The sequence below is a fragment of the Homo sapiens genome, chromosome 10, assembly GCF_000001405.40.
Source record: "Homo sapiens chromosome 10, GRCh38.p14 Primary Assembly".
Lineage (NCBI taxonomy): Eukaryota > Metazoa > Chordata > Mammalia > Primates > Hominidae > Homo > Homo sapiens.
This window is the reverse complement of record NC_000010.11, coordinates 100497364-100516779: the sequence shown is the minus strand read 5'-3', so window position 1 is coordinate 100516779 and position 19416 is coordinate 100497364. Positions and strand designations below refer to the sequence as shown.

At 45.9% G+C, this 19416-nt stretch overlaps 1 protein-coding gene across 1 annotated transcript in view, besides 1 other annotated feature; it reads left to right on the top strand.

The window, feature by feature from the left end:
• Positions 1 to 19416, top strand: part of SEC31B (SEC31 homolog B, COPII component) — a 33215-nt gene that overhangs the window by 3082 nt on the left and 10717 nt on the right. The window contains exons 3-16 of the mRNA NM_015490.4: positions 561 to 684; positions 7269 to 7464; positions 7678 to 7773; positions 8729 to 8872; positions 9213 to 9355; positions 10360 to 10459; positions 10579 to 10740; positions 11285 to 11419; positions 14296 to 14526; positions 17182 to 17256; positions 17522 to 17620; positions 17976 to 18075; positions 18573 to 18751; positions 18987 to 19113. Coding sequence (NP_056305.1) covers positions 561 to 684; positions 7269 to 7464; positions 7678 to 7773; positions 8729 to 8872; positions 9213 to 9355; positions 10360 to 10459; positions 10579 to 10740; positions 11285 to 11419; positions 14296 to 14526; positions 17182 to 17256; positions 17522 to 17620; positions 17976 to 18075; positions 18573 to 18751; positions 18987 to 19113 — 1911 coding nt within the window. The remainder of the gene's footprint in view (positions 1 to 560; positions 685 to 7268; positions 7465 to 7677; positions 7774 to 8728; positions 8873 to 9212; positions 9356 to 10359; positions 10460 to 10578; positions 10741 to 11284; positions 11420 to 14295; positions 14527 to 17181; positions 17257 to 17521; positions 17621 to 17975; positions 18076 to 18572; positions 18752 to 18986; positions 19114 to 19416) is intronic.
• Positions 10001 to 10201: a silencer, noted in NCBI's record as "peak1070 fragment used in MPRA reporter construct". NCBI's record gives its function as "represses an SCP1 promoter by STARR-seq MPRAs in K562 erythroleukemia cells {active_cell/tissue: K562}" and the evidence as "EXISTENCE:reporter gene assay evidence [ECO:0000049][PMID:32103011]".

The following is a 19416-nucleotide window of genomic DNA, read 5'->3' as shown; positions in this document are numbered from 1 at the left end:
CTCAGATCATAGAAAGATAGGGTGGCTCACAGCATAAGCAAGGAGATATTAGGTGTTTTGGGTACCTGAGGGCTGCCTAGGACTATGGCTCAAGGTTAGGTACGTCTTTTTTTTTTTTTTTTTTTTTTTTTGAGACAGAGTCTCACTCTGTCGCTCAGGCTGGAGTGCAGTGGCGCGATCTTGGCTCACTGCAAGCTCCGCCTCCTGGGTTCATGCCATTCTCCTGCCTCAGCCTCCTGAGTAGCTGGGACTACAGGTACCCACCACCACATCTGGCTAATTTTTTTTGTAGTTTTAGTAGAGACAGGGTTTCACCATGTTAGCCAGGATGGTCTCGATCTCCTGACCTTGTGATCTGCCCACCTCGGCGTCCCAAAATGTTGGGATTACAGGCGTGAGCCACCGCGCCCAGCCAACGTTTTCTTGCTTTTGTGGAGTTACCTTTGAGAAAGGGTATACCCAGCCCTCTTCTGTTCCTTCTCTTCTTCACTCCTTAACCTTCTTATACCTGAAATCCATGCATATATTGTTGCTCATATGCTGCCTTTTCTTGTGCCTAGGAACATCTGCCCAACAGCTAGATTCCTCCTTCAGCACAAATGGCACATTGGAAATATTTGAGGTTGATTTCAGGGACCCTTCTCTGGACTTGAAACACAGAGGAGTCCTTTCTGCCTTGAGCAGGTATTGTCTGATCTATTGATGGGTATACAGGGTAGATACTGACGTGGAATCCTGGGAGCAGTGTGTGTTTCTTAGGGCTCATGAGGAGCCAAGTGAGGGAAGAAGGAGCTTTGCCAAGTTGGAGAAAAGTTAATTCTGGGCTTATTTTGCAAAAGGATTTAAAAAACAACCACCCCCCCCCTTTCCAGTCAGCAGCAATAGCAGTGTCAGGCTGAATGCATGTGATAGAGATGCCTCAGACAAGCCTGGACCCACGTGTACCTGGTCTGTCTTTGAACCCAGAGATATTGGCTCCTTCCTCCCTTGGCTCTTGTGAAGATAAACACCTTACACAATATCACCCTCTCTGCCAACAAGGAAGAGAACGAATGATCCTCTCCTTATTGCTTTTAGACACTGATTGGTTCTCATGGATTTCATGGCTCTTGCAGGCTTCCAGCGCTAGATACTATCATTCATTGAGCACATGTATACATGCCAGACACTGTGCTAGGGGCTCTGTACATTTTATTTATTCCTCATAATAAACCTAAGTGATAAGTACCATATTTCCATTTTACATAGGAGGGAACTGAAACTCTGAGAAGCTAGGATTTAAGTCAAGGCCTATCTGTGTCCAAAGCCTACCTTCTTTCCATCATTCTGCCCTTCTTCTAAAGGTCTTGTAAAGTTGAGGCTTACAATCTGAAGCAATGGTCTCCAAATGTTTATATCATCAGAAAAAATGTGAATATTCATTATACTCAAGTTATATATTCAATATAAATGTATACATGTACTACTATACCGTTTTTGTTTTTGTTTGGAACAGGGTCTTACTCTGTCGCCCAGGCTGGATTGCAGTGGCACGATCACGGCTCACTGCAACCTCCACCTCCTGGGCTCAAGCAATCCTCCCGCCTCAGCCCCCTGAGTAGCTGGGACTGCAGGCATATGCCACCACACCGAGCTAATTTTTTATATTTTTAGAAGAGATGGGGTTTTGCCATGTTGCCCAGGCTGGTCTTGAACTCCTGAGCTCAAGCGATCAGCCCCCTTGGCCTCCCAAAGTGCTGGGACTATAGGTGTGAGCCACTGAGCCAGCTGGCTCTACTATTTTTTTTTTTTTTTTTTTTGAGATGGAGTCTCACTCTCTCGCCCAGTCTGGAGTGCAGTGGGGTGATCTCAGATCACTGCAACCTCTGTTTCCCAGGTTCAAGGGATTCTCCTGCCTCAGCCGCCCGAGTAGCTGGGACTACAGGTGCGCGCCACCACACCTGGCTAATTTTTTTGTTATACTACTAATAAAGTGTAATTTCTGTTAATTTTTTTTATATTAGAGGTTACTGGTCTAGAAGGCAACATTCCTTCTGATGATTGATGAACTCCTTGTGCATTTCTTGGTCCCTCTAAGAGATTAGTTAAAATATTGAGGTGGAAGTACCCTCTTTCTTTTCATAGTTTAACTTCATAATGAAAAGTTAGTTGTCGTTTTCCCTTTCTTGAGCTCCTGCATCACTTTATGAGAGCATCTCTTATTTTGCAGGTTTTTTTTTTTTTACATCTCTTTGTATTTCCAGTACCTGTATCCTTTGAAGAGCAGGCACTTGAGGATTTACTGATGATGATTAGATACTCTTAGCCCCTAACCAAACATTTCAGAAGGGTCCCCTCAAAGGGGTGAGCTAATTCAAGATGTTTATATGCTAGAGCTTAAAAAAGGGGTTCAACCTGAGAAAGCTAATAGGAAAAGAAAAAAGGGTGAGGGGGCACTAGTTCTAATCCTCAGCAAGCAAAGCAACAGCTTCAGCGTAGTAGTGGCTCCTTAGGGCTAAGGGTTCTTAAGAAAGAGGCAGTATAATCTTATAAACTGAATTTTGAGATCCATGTGGGCAGAGATTTTAATGGCTTTTTGTTTTGTTTTGTTTTCTGGAGACAGAATCTCACTCTGTCACCCAGGCTGGAGTGTGGTGGCTCGATCTTGGCTCACTGCAACCTCCACCTCCTGCATTCAAGCAGTTCTCCTGCCTCAGCCTCCCGAGTAGCTGGGATTACAGGGGTGCGCCACCATGCCCAGCTAATTTTTGTATTATTAGTCAAGATGGGGTTTCACCATGTTGGCCAGGCTGGTCTCGAACTCCTGACCTCAGGTGATCCAACCACCTCGGCCTCCCAAAGTGCTGGGATTATAGGCGTGAGCTACTGTACCCGGCCGAGATTTTAATGTTTTACTCATTGCTGTATCTCCAGGCACTTAGAGCAGTGCCTGGCATTATATTTAATAAATATTTGTATTTAATAAATATTTGTTATATGAATGAGTGATATTAGAAACTTTTAGGTTACCAGCCAGGTGCGGTGGCTCATGCTTGTAATCCCAGCACTTTGGGAGGCTGAGACGGGTGGATCGCTTGAGGCCAGGAGTTCAAGACCAGCCTGGCCAACATAGTGAAACCCCGTCTCTACTAAAAATGCAAAAATTAGCTGGGCGTGGTGGCACACACCTGTAATCCCAGCTACTCGGGAGGCTGAGGCACCAGAATCGCTTGCACGTGGGAGGCGGAGGTTGCAGTGAGCCAACAAGATGGTACCACTGCACTCCAGCCTGGGTGACAGAGCAAGACCCTGCCTAAAAAAAAGAAAAAGAAGAAGAAACTTCTGGGTTACCAAACAGCATTCAAATCCAGCACTTCAGTTACAGTTAGTCTTAGTGTCTTAAGGGTTTTTCAAGCTGTTAGTTTGAATTTGGGAGTCATGAACTTTACCTCATACTCCTGCTCCACTCTGTAGGGATTTGGGGCCAGTAATCAGAATAAATAGCACAGTTAACCCTACTGATAAGTATTTTATCTCTGCTTTCTTTTCCCACCTCTGTAACTGTGTTGGAAGATTAAATCACATTCCCAAAGACCTCAATCCCAAAGGGATTACCTTTGACACAGCCCTGTTGGGGCCTTTCTGAAGAAATCATCTTAGACACCCAGGGTCTAAGACACCCACTTCATTCTGTTCCAGTCTAGGTTAGGTCACATGCTCAACAGTCAGTATCATAAACTATTGACCTAGATGATTAGGGAAGATAGAGGGACACTCGTCCTTTGCTTTCTGTCTTCCTCTCTCTTTTTTTCTGTGTCTTCTGCATGCTGTGGCATAAGGCACAGTTGTGTGGGGCAGTAGCATTGGCCATAATACTAATAGAGCTGTGTGACTTGGGCAAATCAAGTCAGTTATCTTAGGTTCCCTCACTTATGTATAAAGAAGAGATTGTACCAGATAACTTCTAAGAAACTAGCTGAGATCTGAATTCAGGTTTCATGTTCAGTCTCTTATTCCCTTTTATTTTCTAGTAGTCTTCCTCATTTTTCCATTTTTAAACCTCTTCCTATATCTCTTTTTTATCAACTAAACATGCACCTTTCAAAATCTTCCCCATTCTCTGCCTGCTCTTTTCTCCAAACCCATGCCTCAACCAAATTTGGATCCTGAAGATCCCCTTATCCTCAATCTTTGATGCATCAGAGAAATATTATCTACCTAGAAATATTTGACTGAAAGAAAAATGTTCTGAAACACCAGTATGGGTATAGATAAGGGACAGCCTCAAGCTATAAATAGACTGAAGAGAGTGCATGGATAAATGCCTCTGGATGCAGTCAGAATCAATATGGATTAACATGTGCAGTGAAGCAAACAGTGTTGGGTTTGTTAGATGAATTTCACTCAAAAAGAAAGGTTTCTGGGAGAATATCACACTGTTTATATCATCGACTGAGGACATAGCTGCTGTGGGTAAATGAGGTGAGAGATCAATGTGTGGTCTGCTGTACCTTACCCTCTCTATACACTGAGTTTCTAGCTCTCTGGAGTGGCCCCCATAACCTCTGGAAGAACCATCCTCAAGTAACATGGAGAAAGTAGAGGATCTGTCTTCTGTCATTCTACCTTTATCTCAATTCTAGTTACTTGGGGAGCACTGTGTCCTCTCTTTGGGGGCCTTCTGTAAGGGACAACATCAAGCAGAAAAAAATCATTTGTGTACTTCTCTCAGTTTTCCTGTTCTCAAGACTTGCCTTCTTTCTAGAGGCATTAAGATAATAGAGCATGGGTTAGTTGTTGGATAGACCTGAGTTTATATCCCAGCTCTGCTACTTGCTGTCCTCTTGGACACTTTAACTTCTCTGAACCTTTTTTTCCCACTGTAAATTGAGGATTCATAGTAGATGCGTAGGCATTCAGAAAAGTAGCTTTCCTCTCAAACAACCAATGCTCCATTCATTCTCCAGCTTGGAGTACTGCCTTAATCACTCTGTTTGACTTCTAGGGAGGCTTGAGTTTCCCAAGTTATTTTGGCTTGAATGTGGACAAACTCTTTTCACTTTAGTTCACTAACATGAAGCTAGGATTTTTTTTGAAAAGAATCTTACTAAGAAAATGAAATAATCCAAACCAAAGGAATGAATAAATCATGGAAACAATTTATACAGCAGATATTTCTTTCTTTTTTAAAAAAATAGACATAGGGTCTCACTTTATTGACCAGGCTGGCTTCCATCTCCTGGGCACAAGTGATCCTCCTGCCCCAGCCTCCTGAGTAGCTGGGATTATAGGTGTGAGCCACTGTGCCCAGCTAGACCACCCTTTTTGTTTTTCAACTTCTTATTTTTTAAAAATCCAAACTTACAGGAAAGTTGCAGAATAGTACGCACCCACCCATCTCTTGTTCCCGTTTTCATTTGCAGAGTAGAGATGGGAACACTCCCTGAGCACCCTGAACCATCAAGTCTCCTTCCTCACTTAACTCCACCTAGGTGTTAAGCCCATTCGCCCAGGTTTGCTCTCTATCACAACCTATTCAGGCGCCAGCTTTACCCTTGCTAGTGATGTGGTTAACCACAGAAATGTGCTTTCTATATGCATACAGAAAGAAAATCATTTTGTCACACCCTGTATGTGGCAAACTGAAGTAACTGCCACTCTGAAGTAACTGCCCTCTTTTCCAGCCCTTTGGTGACTCCCCCTTGAGGTCTCAGGTACCTTTTACTGTGCTCTGTATGTCATGTGTTCCGACCATGCTGAGGTCGCTGCACCCTCTGCATCTTCATGTGGGTTTTTCACTGCACATACCCTCCGCTGGTTCCTGTGTGACCTACTGTGGGCTTCTCTAGCTACTCAGTTGACATGCCCTCTACCCCTGCTGAGCTCCAGTCCCTGGATGACATGGCAGCCTCTTCAGCCTGTATGGAAAAACATCCTTCTGCTGTATTAAGATCATTGCAACCTTAGAAAACAGCCTTTCTGGCAGTAGCCTCTTAGCTAGCATTGTGTTGGCTCTGCTGTTTTGCTTCAGATGCTGACCTGGTCTGAGCTGGTTCTCCATACTTTGCTTCTGACCAGTTGGCTCTGCTCCAGTGACTGGCCTAACAAGTTCCTGCCTATCACCTACTCAGTTGCTTTGCTGACTGTTCGCAGGGAATATTTCTTTGCAGTTGGAGATCTTGTAACCTCATTTGGCGTGATATCTGGCTTCTCCAAAGGGCTGTGGAAATGTCCTTGGCTAGCAGCTATGAAGTGAGAGACAGACCACCTATGAGGCTTCAGGGATTTCACATGTCTTCCGTAGGGGCTTTGCAGAGGACCCAAACTTGTCTAGAAGGGATCCAGGGATCCAAAGGGATCTTTTTCTCTGGGGCAAGACATTGGCATTATCTTGTTAGAAGCATCCTCAGAAATCCAGAAAAGTATTTCCTGAGTGGGAGTGTATCCTTTCATGCCTCTGTCTCCAGGTCTGGCCCTTTGCAGCCACATGGCCACTCCAGTGGGCCAGCCACATGGGAGAGGCATGGGGTGGGGAGGCCATTGGGTCTTTTCTCATTTCCAGTTTGAGAGTGAATTGTTGGTCTAGGGAGCCTGCTTCTAATAGTTACAGAAGAGTTTGAATCTTTCTCTCAATAGGAGACAGTATTTTATGATGTTAAGAGCTCAGGCTCTGGAATAAGATGGGCCTGACTTTGAACCTTGACCCTGCTACTTCCTAGCATTTATCCTAAAATGGGGATAAAATTACTACCTCTGTGTATAGAAATTTTATAACTTCTTTGTGCCTCAGTTTTCTCAATTGAAAATGGAAATAATAGTAATACTTCATGAGGTTGTTAAATGTTCAGACAGCTAATACACCTAGAGCACTTAAAACAGTGTCTGATACATAGCAAGTATTCAGTCAGTGTAAGTGGTTGCTATTATTACCTGACTATTTGAGTTGTGAGGATTATGTGAAGTAATCTATTTGAAGTATATATCACCAGCCTATATAACCCCAATGTTAACTTAAAAATGTACATATATATGTATATATATACACCTCCACACAACTCAGAGGCAGTGGCTTCCTGGCTTCTGGTGTAACGTAGATGAAACATTTTTTCAGAGAAAGGGCAGGACTGGGCGGAGGATACATCCCTTCTGTCTGGGAAATGAAGGAGACAGGCAAGTTCCAGCTAGGGGTGGGGCTGCCTGCATAATGGCAGAAGCTGACAGAGATGCCCATCCTGTGCTTACTGACATGAACCTAAGTTTGTACTGATGCCAGTTCCTCCTCTTTATAGGTTTCACAAGCTGGTCTGGGGGAGCTTTGGCAGTGGGCTTCTGGAAAGCTCCGGGGTTATTGTTGGCGGCGGGGACAATGGCATGCTTATTCTATACAATGTGACCCACATCCTGTCTTCGGGGAAGGAGCCTGTGATTGCTCAGAAACAGAAGCACACGGGGGCTGTCAGAGCCCTCGACTTGAATCCTTTCCAGGTACTACATTTCAGTTAGTCAAACATGGCCAAGCCAGGGAGCAACAGATCTGAGTGGAAGCATTCATTTGTGGCCTCCAGTCTGTAACTCTGACCCCTTTCCAGGCTGTTTCAGGGGAGGCTTTTGATAGCCCCAAATTTGGGCTTCTTTCCTCCTTTCTTGCTCTGTTTCTTCCTAGGGTGGTATGTCTCCAAACACTTTTTATTCATACAGGGCAACCTCCTGGCTTCAGGGGCCAGCGATTCTGAAATCTTCATTTGGGATCTGAATAACTTGAATGTGCCAATGACCCTGGGATCCAAGTCACAGGTGAGCAGCACCCCCACTACCCAACCCTGGAGTGTGCAGCTGATTCTCCTAAGTAAAAGTCTTGAGTTCTGGAGCCAATCAGAGCTCAAGAGATATCAAACTTTACCACTGGAGGGCAATAAAGCTCCACAGACTAACATGCTACCAGCCAGATAAGAGTTAGGATGGCTGGTGGGTGGAGGGTGTATATGGGGTAGTTGGTTTGTGCTCATTACTCGTTCTAAGAGTTTCTGGGAGGCAGATGAAAGTTGGGGAGAGCAAAAGACACCACAAGAAGGGATGGGAGTGCTGTTTATCACAGTAGAGCTTTCGCAGGGTTGGGTAGGGCATTGGGCCCAGCAAAGAGGGAGGAAGAGTAGGACCCCAGACATACCATTGTCCTTTTTATGGAGGGGGGGGTCAGCTTTGTTCTCCCTGTATGTGGCTCTGCCATGCAGTTGGGGGTCTGGTCTTCTGTCTTGGAGAGGCTGTCTGTCAATCTGTAACTGGGCCCATCTTTTTGCTTCCTGGCCTTTTCTCTTTCTTCTGTGCTTACAGTATCATGAGGTAAGTTAAGTTTCAATTTGATAGCATCTTGTGGTTTTTCTCTCGGCCTCACTCTCTCTTGGGGTCTTGGGTATCTGTTTTCCTCCCTCCCTCATCTTCCTCCTTCTCTCCCTCTTTTTTTGTCCTAGACAAGAGGGCTGTTTTTTAAAATCTTGACTCTATCCTCTTAGTAAAACCTTGGGTAGGAGTAAAACTTAGATGTGCCTGCCATCCCCTCTGCTTCTACACTGATACCCTAAAGGATCCTCCCTGGAAAATTCAACTCCCAGCTTCGCAACACTGTCTTAGTTTGGGTAGCCCCATGTCTATTCTTGGACTTGCTGTGGGTGGCTGGGAGCAGTGGAACAGCAGATGTCACTTTGTCCAGGGGGTGACAAGTTGTCATCTTTCTGTCCCCATCCTGCCTTAGCAGCCTCCAGAGGACATCAAGGCACTGTCTTGGAACCGGCAAGCCCAACACATTCTGTCTTCTGCTCACCCCAGTGGCAAGGCAGTTGTGTGGGATCTCAGGAAGAATGAACCTATCATCAAAGTCAGTGATCACAGCAACAGGGTGAGTATTGGAGGCCAGAACACAGGCTTGGGCTCTGGCTTCTCTCTCCTGCCTAGCAGTTAGAGCTGCTCTGCCCCAGGCCAGAGTCCTGCTTTCAGCTGTCGGACATGTGGAGTCAGCCGCTTAGCACATTTCCTATTGAGAGTGAAAACTTAGGGAAGCTAAACAGAGCTGATCTGGAAGCTTCTGCCATTCCTTACTTATTCCTGGCCATCACTCTCTGATGCCTGTGGTGTTCCCAGTCACAAAAGAGACAGAAAACTTGCTCTCAGAGTGGTCCCATTTCAACTGGGCAAAAGAGTCAGGTTACAGCACCCATTGGGATCTGCTTTGTTCACAGATGCACTGCTCAGGCCTGGCCTGGCATCCTGACATAGCCACCCAGTTAGTGCTGTGCTCAGAGGATGATCGACTTCCCGTGATTCAGCTGTGGGACTTGCGCTTTGCCTCCTCGCCCTTGAAGGTGCTGGAGAGCCACAGCAGGTAGCATCTCAGACGTCATCCATATCCTTGGGGGGATGGTGGATATAACTGGGCTGGGTAGGAGGCAATGTATCCCTCACTTTAGCTACTAAACATCCTCCCTGGCTTTAAAGCCATTCCGGTCAACATATAGTCACCCAATACCTACTCCAGCCTTAACCAAGAGGAGGCCCTTAGACCCTGAGGTTATGGAGAGGAGGCTGAGATTCCATCTAAATTCCAGAGATGGGAATGGAATGGGGTAATGAGAAATACTGGAACCAGTGTTTAGCCTCCAGGCTCTGATATGAGGATAATGTTCATTTCTTTAGGTGATGAGCTTGCCTCCTCCAGGATTTCTTCATAAAAACAACTTGACTCCTGTCTATCCTGTGGAGGCCTCTATCCAGCCTCCACAATCTCTTCTTTCTAACCAAAGGGCCATGGTGCCTTTGTATCTCCTTGGGTACCTTTATTTTTTTAGACCAGTTCTTGCTCTGTCACCCAGGCTGGAGTGCAGTAGCGTGATCAAGGCTCACTGTGACCTCGATCTCCTGGGCTCAAGTGATCCTCCCCGCTCGGCCTTGCACAGTGTTGGGATTACAAGCATGAGCCACTGTGCCTGGCCTCCTTGGGGACTTTAGATGGTTAGGTCTTTACTACCTCCTGGGCTAAAAGCACCCATAGTGATGAGTGTTTGTGTGATTCATACTGATTCATAATCTCTACTGTCTAATCAGTGAAAAGAAGCAGGTCATCCTGCAGTGATCTAAGAGAGGCAGAGTGGTACATTGCATAGTGCACAGGCTCTGAGGTTTGGTTTGGGTTCTGACTCTGCAACTGTTGGAAAGTTACTTAATTTTTCAAAACCTCATTTTATTCATTTGTAAGATAATATCAGACCATGCATTTTATAGGGCATGGATGGTCTGATATGCCCTATAAAATGTATAAAAGACATATAAGGCACCCTACTCATAGTAGGCATTCAACAAATGCTAGTTCCTCTTCCCTTCTCTTTTTAGGGGGATCTTGTCAGTGTCATGGAGCCAGGCTGATGCTGAGCTGCTGCTCACTAGTGCTAAGGACAGCCAGATCTTGTGCCGGAACCTGGGGAGCAGTGAGGTAGGCTGGCCCTTCTGTGGGCATGCTGGGATGGGAGAGAGAGGGTAGAAGAATCTCAGCTGCAGCCATGTGTTTTGGGTTTCATGGACTGTCCCTAATGGTGTGTTCCCTCATATTAGGTGGTATATAAGCTACCAACACAGAGCAGCTGGTGCTTTGATGTGCAGTGGTGCCCTCGGGACCCTTCAGTGTTCTCTGCTGCCTCCTTCAACGGCTGGATCAGTTTGTACTCTGTGATGGGTAGGAGCTGGGAAGTCCAGCATATGAGACAGGCTGACAAGGTTTGAAGGGCTTGGTAGAGAATGCTGGAGGGAAGGGGCTGTCTCTGTTTGTGGGAGAGAGACATATGGCTTGAGAAGCGGAGATATTGGAGATTGGGAGACCAGGGCCCGGGGTTTGGGAGGGCTGCACCTTTGCCCTAGTGCCCATCTTCCTGAAAGGATGTTAGTTTCTGCCACAATGTGAAGAAGGCCTTCACCTTGACTCTTGTTATTGGATGGGCCCTGTAGTATTTCAGGGACCGTGGGACCCCTTTGCTGGGACAGTTATTTCAAGAGTATGACTCTTATCTTTCTCTCTTCTATAGATCCATTTTGTGCCACACTCCATTGTAGACTTTGAATGTAGTAGTCTTTCCAAGAGCCTACTTGCATGGGAGTCCCACCCTCGCTACCACTCACTTCCCCATCCCCTGGAATATGGGAGTCTGACCTTTCTAGGTCAAATTGGGTGTCTCAAGGATTCCTCCCAAAATGGAGTTTGTAGGTGGAGTTCCTGACTAAACTGCCACTTTAGGATGGCGATGCAGGTGTCTTTTCCCCCCAGATCTCCTCTTCCTTCAGCAAAGGCCAGCCTCTCCCACCACTGCAGGTGCCAGAGCAAGTGGCACAAGCACCACTGATACCTCCCCTGAAAAAACCCCCCAAATGGATTAGAAGACCAACAGGTGTTTCATTTGCTGTAAGTGTAGTGGATGTATAGGTGTGTGTGTGTTTGTGTGTGTGTGTGTGTGTGTGTGTGTTTGTGAAGCCTACCATGTGCCCAGCATGGAGCTAAGTTTTGTAGCAGACGTATTCCCACTGCCTCTGTCTCAGAATGGATCCCACTTTACCTCTCAAGGAGAGAGTTACTATAGCTTCCTTCTCTTCACTTCACCCATTCTATATCTTCTGCCAGTCCTGTCTAAAAGGAGCTGACTGCCTTAGAACTCTTGGTTGTGGAGAAATAGCCTGAGATTCCATCTTTTCTCTAACCCTTACGTGTCTGGACTGGTAGTAAGGAACTACAAAGAAGGCAAAAAAAAAACCATTTTATTCTGTCATTTCTCTGTTCAAAACGTTTGAGCCTCCCATTGCTTTATAGACAAGGCTAAATTTGCACAGGGCTCCACTTACCTTTCCATTTCTGTCTCATTCTCATATGTTCTCTATGTTCCAGTTACATATGACTTCTTTCTGTTTTGTAAATAACTCCTCAACTCTTCCTGTCTCTGCTTGTACCCTAACCTTCAGCTTCTCTCCTGGGCCCATTGAATGCTACCACAGCCTTTCAAGGCCCCTCTCTTAAATACTATCTCCTCCTTGATGCCTGTCTTTAACCCAAGTCAAAATTAACCTCTCTCTATAATCCCACAGACTTATACTTTGGTAACGATACATTCTAACTATACTAAAGTTATTTATATACATATATGCATATTACCCTACTAAGTAATAGACTCCTTAAGGATAGGGACTATGTCTTGCTGATTTTTATATCCCCAAAGCGGTGCTTCACAAACTATTAATGTGCATCCACATCACTTGGGGATCTTATTAAAATTCAGAAACTGGTTCATTGAGTTGGAAGTAAGGCCCAAGATTCTGATTTTTCAGCAGGCTCCCAGTTGATGTCCTTGCAGCTGGTCGGAGGACTAGCACTTTGAATGACAAGGCCCTGAAGCACTTGGTACAATGCTTTAAATATTAGGTTTGAATTGAAAACAGATGTATAAAAGCGGAAGTTCTTGTTTTCAAAGCCAACGGTTTTACTGGGGAGGCAAGACTAACACATTCAATAGGCTGTGAGCTTAAAAAGAAAAAGAAGTAGGGAGGTAAAGAATTCTGAGGTCAAGAGGCCTGAATTCTTATCATAGCTCTGTCATTTATTAGCTGGGTAACCTTGAACAATTCATTTAACCTCTCAGGACTTAACCGTTCTTATCGGTAAAACAGGGATAGTGATGCCTGCCCAGAAAATTAACATGAACCACAAATAAGAATATATGTACACACTTTGTAAAACTATCAAGTACTATATAAATCAAAAGTTAAAATGGTTTTGTTTAGCACTAATCTGTGGTGTAGATTTTGTGCTGCAGAAGTCACGGTAAATAAGAATTCTGACTGGGAGAGTTCATTAGGAGGTGGATATTGGGAAAAGAAATGGTGAATAGTTAGGGAGTAAAGCAATAGTTATCAACGCCAAATAATCTGTACAACAAACCCCCATGACACAAGTTTACCATATAACAAACATGGACATTTACTGCATTGGATTGAATTTTTTTAACCTAAAGTAAAAATTAAAAAAAAAAAAAAGTTGTCGGCCAGGCGCTGGTGGCTTACTCCTGTAATCCCAGCACTTTGGGAGGCCGAGGCAGGTGGATCACCTGAGGTCGGGGAGTTCGAGACCAGCCTGACCAACATGGAGAAACCCCTGTCTCTACTAAAAATACAAAATTAGCCGGGCGTGGTGGTGCATACCTGTAATCCCAGCTACTTGGGAGGCTGAGGCAGGAGAATCGAGTGAACCTGGGAGGCGGAGGTTACGGTGAGCCGAGATTGCGCCATTATACTCCAGCCTGGGCAACAAGAACAAAACTCCATCTCAAAAAAAAAAAAAAAAGTTGTCAGCCTTGGATACACATTGGAATAACCTGAATAATTCAAAAAATACTGATGCCTAGTCCCATCCCCAGAGTTTCTGATTGTATTGTCTGGGGTGTGGCCTGGCAAGTCTGGATTGTTCTCCATGTGGTTTTAATATGCAGCCAATGTTGAGAACTGCTGGAGTAAAAAGGGTTTTTCTAAGGTCCTGTTTTGTGCCAGATGCTTTATATAAGGCATCTAATTTGGTGAGACGGATACTCCAGGTGGGGGTGTTGTGGGTAAAGGCACAGAAGCAGGAACACACCAGGCATTTTAGGGATGTGGAGCAATTATAATAAACAAGCAGGGAGAGAGATGCTGGGAAAGATAGGTTTGGCCCTGATTTTGCAGAGGTTTGTGCACTGCAGGAAGGGGAGCTTAAGCTCTTTCCTGTGGCCTTGTGAAACCACACAGGCTCCTGAATAGCAGCAGGTTGGTACAAGCAATAGAGGGATAGTCTAAGGCTTAATTAGAGGAGGGAAAAGAACAGAAGGCTAGCAAACTATTTTAGTAATCTGGGGGTACTGGCACTGGGAATGGGATGGAGGGGACCTGCATGAAAGACAGTGAACAAGAATAGGTAGGACTTTGTCGTTGCTTGGCTATAGGGGGTATGAAGACTTTGCTAATGCTGAGGTATTTAGCCCAGGTGACTGGGAGAATGGTGGTACCAGGACAGGTTAGCAGAAGGTGAGTCTTGTGTGGTGAAGTTTGAAGTGGGTGGTCCTAAGAGTGCAGAAGTGGTTTTGGTAGGGAGACGAATTCAATACTAAATTCCTGATCCTATTCCACCCCCCAGGAACTCTCTTATTTTATTTATTTCCTAGCCTAGGGTCAGCCATTAGATAGCCTTCTCTGTGAATCTGACTTAGTGTTACTTTTTGACTTGAAGGTATAACCTTTACCCTTCTTGCTTTTCCTCACCAGTTTGGAGGGAAGCTGGTTACTTTTGGCCTCCCCAGCACCCCTGCCCATCTGGTGCCACAGCCTTGCCCCCGCCTAGTCTTCATCAGTCAAGTCACCACAGAATCTGAATTCCTGATGCGATCAGCTGAGCTGCAGGAGGCCTTGGGATCAGGAAATCTACTGAATTACTGTCAGAACAAGAGCCAGCAAGCTTTACTGCAAAGTGAAAAGATGCTGTGGCAGTTCCTGAAGGTGGGAAGCCTGAAGGCTAGCTGCTCAGAAGTGTCTCCCCAAAGCCTGGAACTCCAACCTCTGTCAACTGCAGGAGAAGCACAAGCACACTGGGACCCAGATCACAGAGGCCTTAACTCCCATTAGTTTTTCCCCCACACTATACCCACCATCTAGACACAAAACGTTCACCCTTTACCAGAGGCTCAAAGGCCATTTGGGAAGAGGCTAGGAAAGATGGGGAATACACGAGATGTTTTCTTTTGTTGCTACTATGGTTGATGTCCTAGGTATTTTACCAGGGCCAAGGCAAAGACCTTCACGGTATCATGCCAAAGGGCAGATAAGGTAATGGGAAGGAAGAAAAAAGGGAGGAAAGAGAAAAAGAGGAGAAAGGAAAAACATTAGTTAGAAGGACATATTGTCATAAGAAGGCTTTGAGTTGGTTTCAAGTAACCCAAGGCAAGTCCTTGGAGTGGGTCCTAGGGTTCAGGTGCCACTGTACACTGGAGGCATGGGTTCAGTTCCAGTTCTCATTTAATTTCAAGTTTCCTGTGACACCAGGAGGAGTACTATACCTATCAAAGGAAATGAGCAAGTGAGAGATCTGAAGGAAGAAAGGCAAGTAGCTGACTGGTCAGTCAGTGGGATGATTGTGCAAGTTTTTGGAATTGTTTAGAAGAAAGCAAAAAGGATTGGGCCTGTACCAGGGCATCTGAGAGGGACTTGAAATTTGAGCTTTAGGCATAGTAGAGCTTTATGAAGGTGGACATCAGGAAGTTAGAGAAAGAGGATTTGAGAAAGATCTTGACTATACAGTGAAGCCAGAGAATGATGTGGGAAGAAAAGAATAAGAAATGATGCTTTTGTCATAAGCAGGATACAAGTTCCAGGAATGGTGAGATGGTAAAGAGAGGGAGTGGTCAGGAGTTCAGCCTTTACTCCGCTAAACAAAGGAGACAGTGGTACCTATAGGACAGAGGGACCTATAGGACAGGGCATTCTGGGTTTTTTTGTTTTTGTTTTTTTGAGACAGAGTTTCACTCTTGTCGCTCAGGCTGGAGTACAATGGCATGATCTTGGCTTACTGCAACTTCTGCCTCCCGGGTTCAAGCAATTCTCCTGCCTCAGCCTCCTAAATAGCTGGGATTACAGGCACCTGCCACCACGCCTGTATTTTTTTTTAGAGACAGGGTTTTTTTTTTTTTGTATTTTTTGTATTTTTTTTGTAGTAGAGACAGGGTTTCACCATGTTGGCCAGGCTAGTCTCGAACTCCTGAACTCAGGTGATCCACCCACCTCAGCCTCCCAAAGTGCTGGCATTATAGGCGTGAGCCACCGCGCCTGGCCAGGCATTCTGGTTTAAAAGCTACCCAAGAGCTGTCCATCATGATGGTTCCTGGTTGGGTGTGGTGAACATTTCCAAGGGAAGGGCATGGAAGGAGAAGGGTGCCCAGAGAGACTATGAGAAAGGTATGGTTAGAAATCATGTTTCAGTGTGGAATAAATTAAGGGCCTGGGACAGCTAACCAAGATTACGGGGGCTTCAGAAAGGTTTGCTCCTTGGTATTTGGGACATTGAGTGGGAAGCTGACTTTGTTTACTGTACCTGTGCAACTTCTACCAGAGGTCTTCTCAAAGAAACATTTAGACTCACAAGGCTGGGTGCGGTGGCTCACGCCTGTAATCCCAGCAATTTGGGAGGCTGAGGTGGGTGGATCACCTGGGGTCAGGAGTTCGAGACCAGCCTGGCCAACATGGTGAAACCCTGTCTCTACTAAAAATACAAAAAATTAGCCGGGCGTGGTTGAGGGCGCCTGTAATTCCAGCTACTTAGGAGGCTGAGACAGGAGAATCACTTGAACCCTGAGGGTGGAGGTTGCAGTGAGCCGACATGGCGCCACTGTACTCCAGCCTGGTTGAGACAGCAAGAGTCTGTCTAAAAAAAAAAAAGAAAAGAAACATTTAGACTCACAAGACTACTGTAGGCTACACTTGGCAGCAGTCTCCTCGGAAGGATATGGGATAGGGACCACAGCAGGGTAGCATCAGGCAGGTGTCTTCTGTGGGAGCCCTTTCAGCAGTCATGCAGTAATTCAGAGTTCTCTTCTTCAGCCCGCCAGAGACAGCTCAGGTGCAAGGAGATGAGACTATACATCAGGCAGGTATGTAAGTTGCCCTGACTTAGAAGCTTCTTGCCCACAAGAGCCAATATCTCTTGTACCAATTCTAAAAGCATAGCTTCCGGAGTCCCTGCAAGGAATCTGTCCAGTTACAAGAGCCACTGCAAACAGGGAAATGCATAGCATGTTGTTCACATTAATTATTTCTAGGTTACATAGTTCCAGTCCAGATGCAAGTTACCAATCACAAGCATATTGCCTAGGAACAGCTGACATTTTACTCTCACCAGACTACCAGGGTAACAGAGCTAGGAAGTCAATGAAAGGTCAAATTCTCATGTGCAAAGGGCAGGGGGCTATGTTAACACTGCTGATAGCCCATCAGTAAGTCAGATCCAGGGAGGAAAAAGAGATGGCATTGGACTGCTGAGGGCACTTCTAGTAGTACAAAGAACTATATTGGGTATACTGGCACAGATACCCAGCTTGTTGTAGGAAGAGCGTCATTTATGTTCATTTAATGGAATCTTTTCTGTGTTCTGTGGTTTCTTAGGTGACCTTAGAGCAAGACTCCAGAATGAAATTCCTAAAGCTTTTAGGATACAGTAAAGATGAGCTTCAGAAGAAGGTAAGCTGCTTTTCACATCAGAAACATGTACTTGTTGAAGAGAAGAAGAGAATGTTGCCAGAGTAAACCACCTCAGAATACCTCTTCCTGGCCTTATTATTGCATATGTGAGCATTTTACATCCTGGAGTTTGTTTTTTTCTCAGAAAAAAATAGATCAGGGATCTTAGAGAGTACAGTTGGTGGGGTATGGAGATAGGAAAAGAGGATAATGCTTATTTGATCTTACGCTTGAAAGAGCGGTTTTCAGAGGTCTCTCCCTGCAGGTGGCCACATGGTTGAAGAGTGACGTGGGGCTAGGTGAGAGTCCTCAGCCCAAGGGAAATGACCTCAACAGTGACAGACAACAGGCCTTCTGCAGCCAGGTGTGGTAGGAGTCCAGTCAGCCTGACCTATGGTAACACAGGAAACCTGCCTTTTGGGCATCTTTCCCTTCCTGGCCCTTTTCTTTGCTGTCTGTAAGTGTTTAGCGTCTGTAGAAGTCTTCAGACTCCTCACTCTCTTAGAACCAGAGTGAGACACAGAGTCCCTAAGCTTTTGGGCTGGGAGTGGAGAGCTGTGTCTTAACCATGAACTATGGCCCTCCCCAAACCTTACCTGGCTATTTTTTTAGTTTTACCCATTAACGGCCAAATAGTAGAGCTCTCAGGGCTACTAAGCCAGCTCTCTGTCTGTCTTGGGTTCATCCCTAAGTAGTCACCTCTGTCCTTCCTCATACAGGCCTCCAAACACACCACAAAGGAAGCCTCTGCTTCCTCAGCCTTCTTTGATGAGCTGGTCCCTCAGAACATGACTCCTTGGGAGATCCCCATCACAAAAGGTACCCTGACCCTGAGGGAGAGGGAGAGTCTCTGCTTAGGACTAGGTGGGCACGGAGGTTTTGGACTTGAGACATTCCCTTCTTGTCCCCTGCCTCGTGCCTTCCTCCCACCGTCTCAAATGCTGAGTGAGTCGCTTACCAGTTAGAGCTCTCTCTGGTTGTAGATTTTCATGGATACGTCCTTCCTATGGAAGGCCTTCTACCAACAGATTTTCTTCTATCCTTCTTGCTGAAAGGACTGTGGCCCTGCCCACTGTGATCAAGCACACCTCACACTGTGCTACTGCCACATCAGTTCCCTCCCTTGTCTTGGGCCCTGTCTTTAGACCTGGGCACCAAAATACATTTTATTGCCAAGGAGTGAAACTTGAGGATTTAGTTTGGAGCCAAGCACACTGAGTGATATAGAGATATAGAGGGTGTGCTGTGGGCCCTGCAGGGGGCAGGAAGTTGGGGTTTGAGAGCAACTAATGCACAGGGGATGCTTCTGCCTGCAGATATTGATGGACTCCTAAGCCAGGCTCTCCTGCTTGGGGAACTGGGTCCGGCCGTGGAGCTGTGTCTGAAGGAGGAGCGCTTTGCTGATGCCATTATCCTGGCCCAGGCTGGGGGTACAGATCTGCTGAAGCAAACACAGGAGCGCTACTTGGCCAAGAAGAAAACCAAAATCTCCTCGGTAACTGCCCATCATGCAGGAGAAGAAGGGAGGGGATTACTTGGACCTTGTGAGGTGGATACCCACACCTTGGGACCCATGTTTGAGTATCTGCCTGCCTCTCTCTTTCTACTCTAACCACCCCCACCTCATCCCTTGCCCCTACTCAGTGCTCTAACAGGAGGCCTGTGCAGGAATCCTGCTGCCTATGCTGGATGGATGGCTGATGGTCTCTTTCCCTCTCTGCCCATTACAGCTTCTAGCCTGTGTTGTGCAAAAGAATTGGAAGGATGTGGTGTGTACCTGTAGCCTGAAGAACTGGAGAGAGGCACTGGCTTTGCTACTGACATACTCAGGCACAGAGAAATTTCCCGAGCTCTGTGGTAAGTGTGGTCCCAGGCTTCAGGATGAAATGGTGTGACTCCAGCATGGAGTCAAAGGATGCATGCAGGAGGGAGGTGGAGGAGCAGACTGAGCTGTGGGAGGCGAGGCAATGTTGTCAGGGCTAGAATCTGGCTCAGCCAGGAGGCAGGGACCACAGTGCATGCCCCTATTTTCAGAGGGGATCCTTTGTTGTCCTGTTTTACCTTGTCTTGTCACACCATGATGTGAGAACTTTCCCCTTCTCTGTACAGCAAGGTGAGTCTCAGTGTTGTCTTAAACTGCAGCTACTTGTCCCAGGCTCA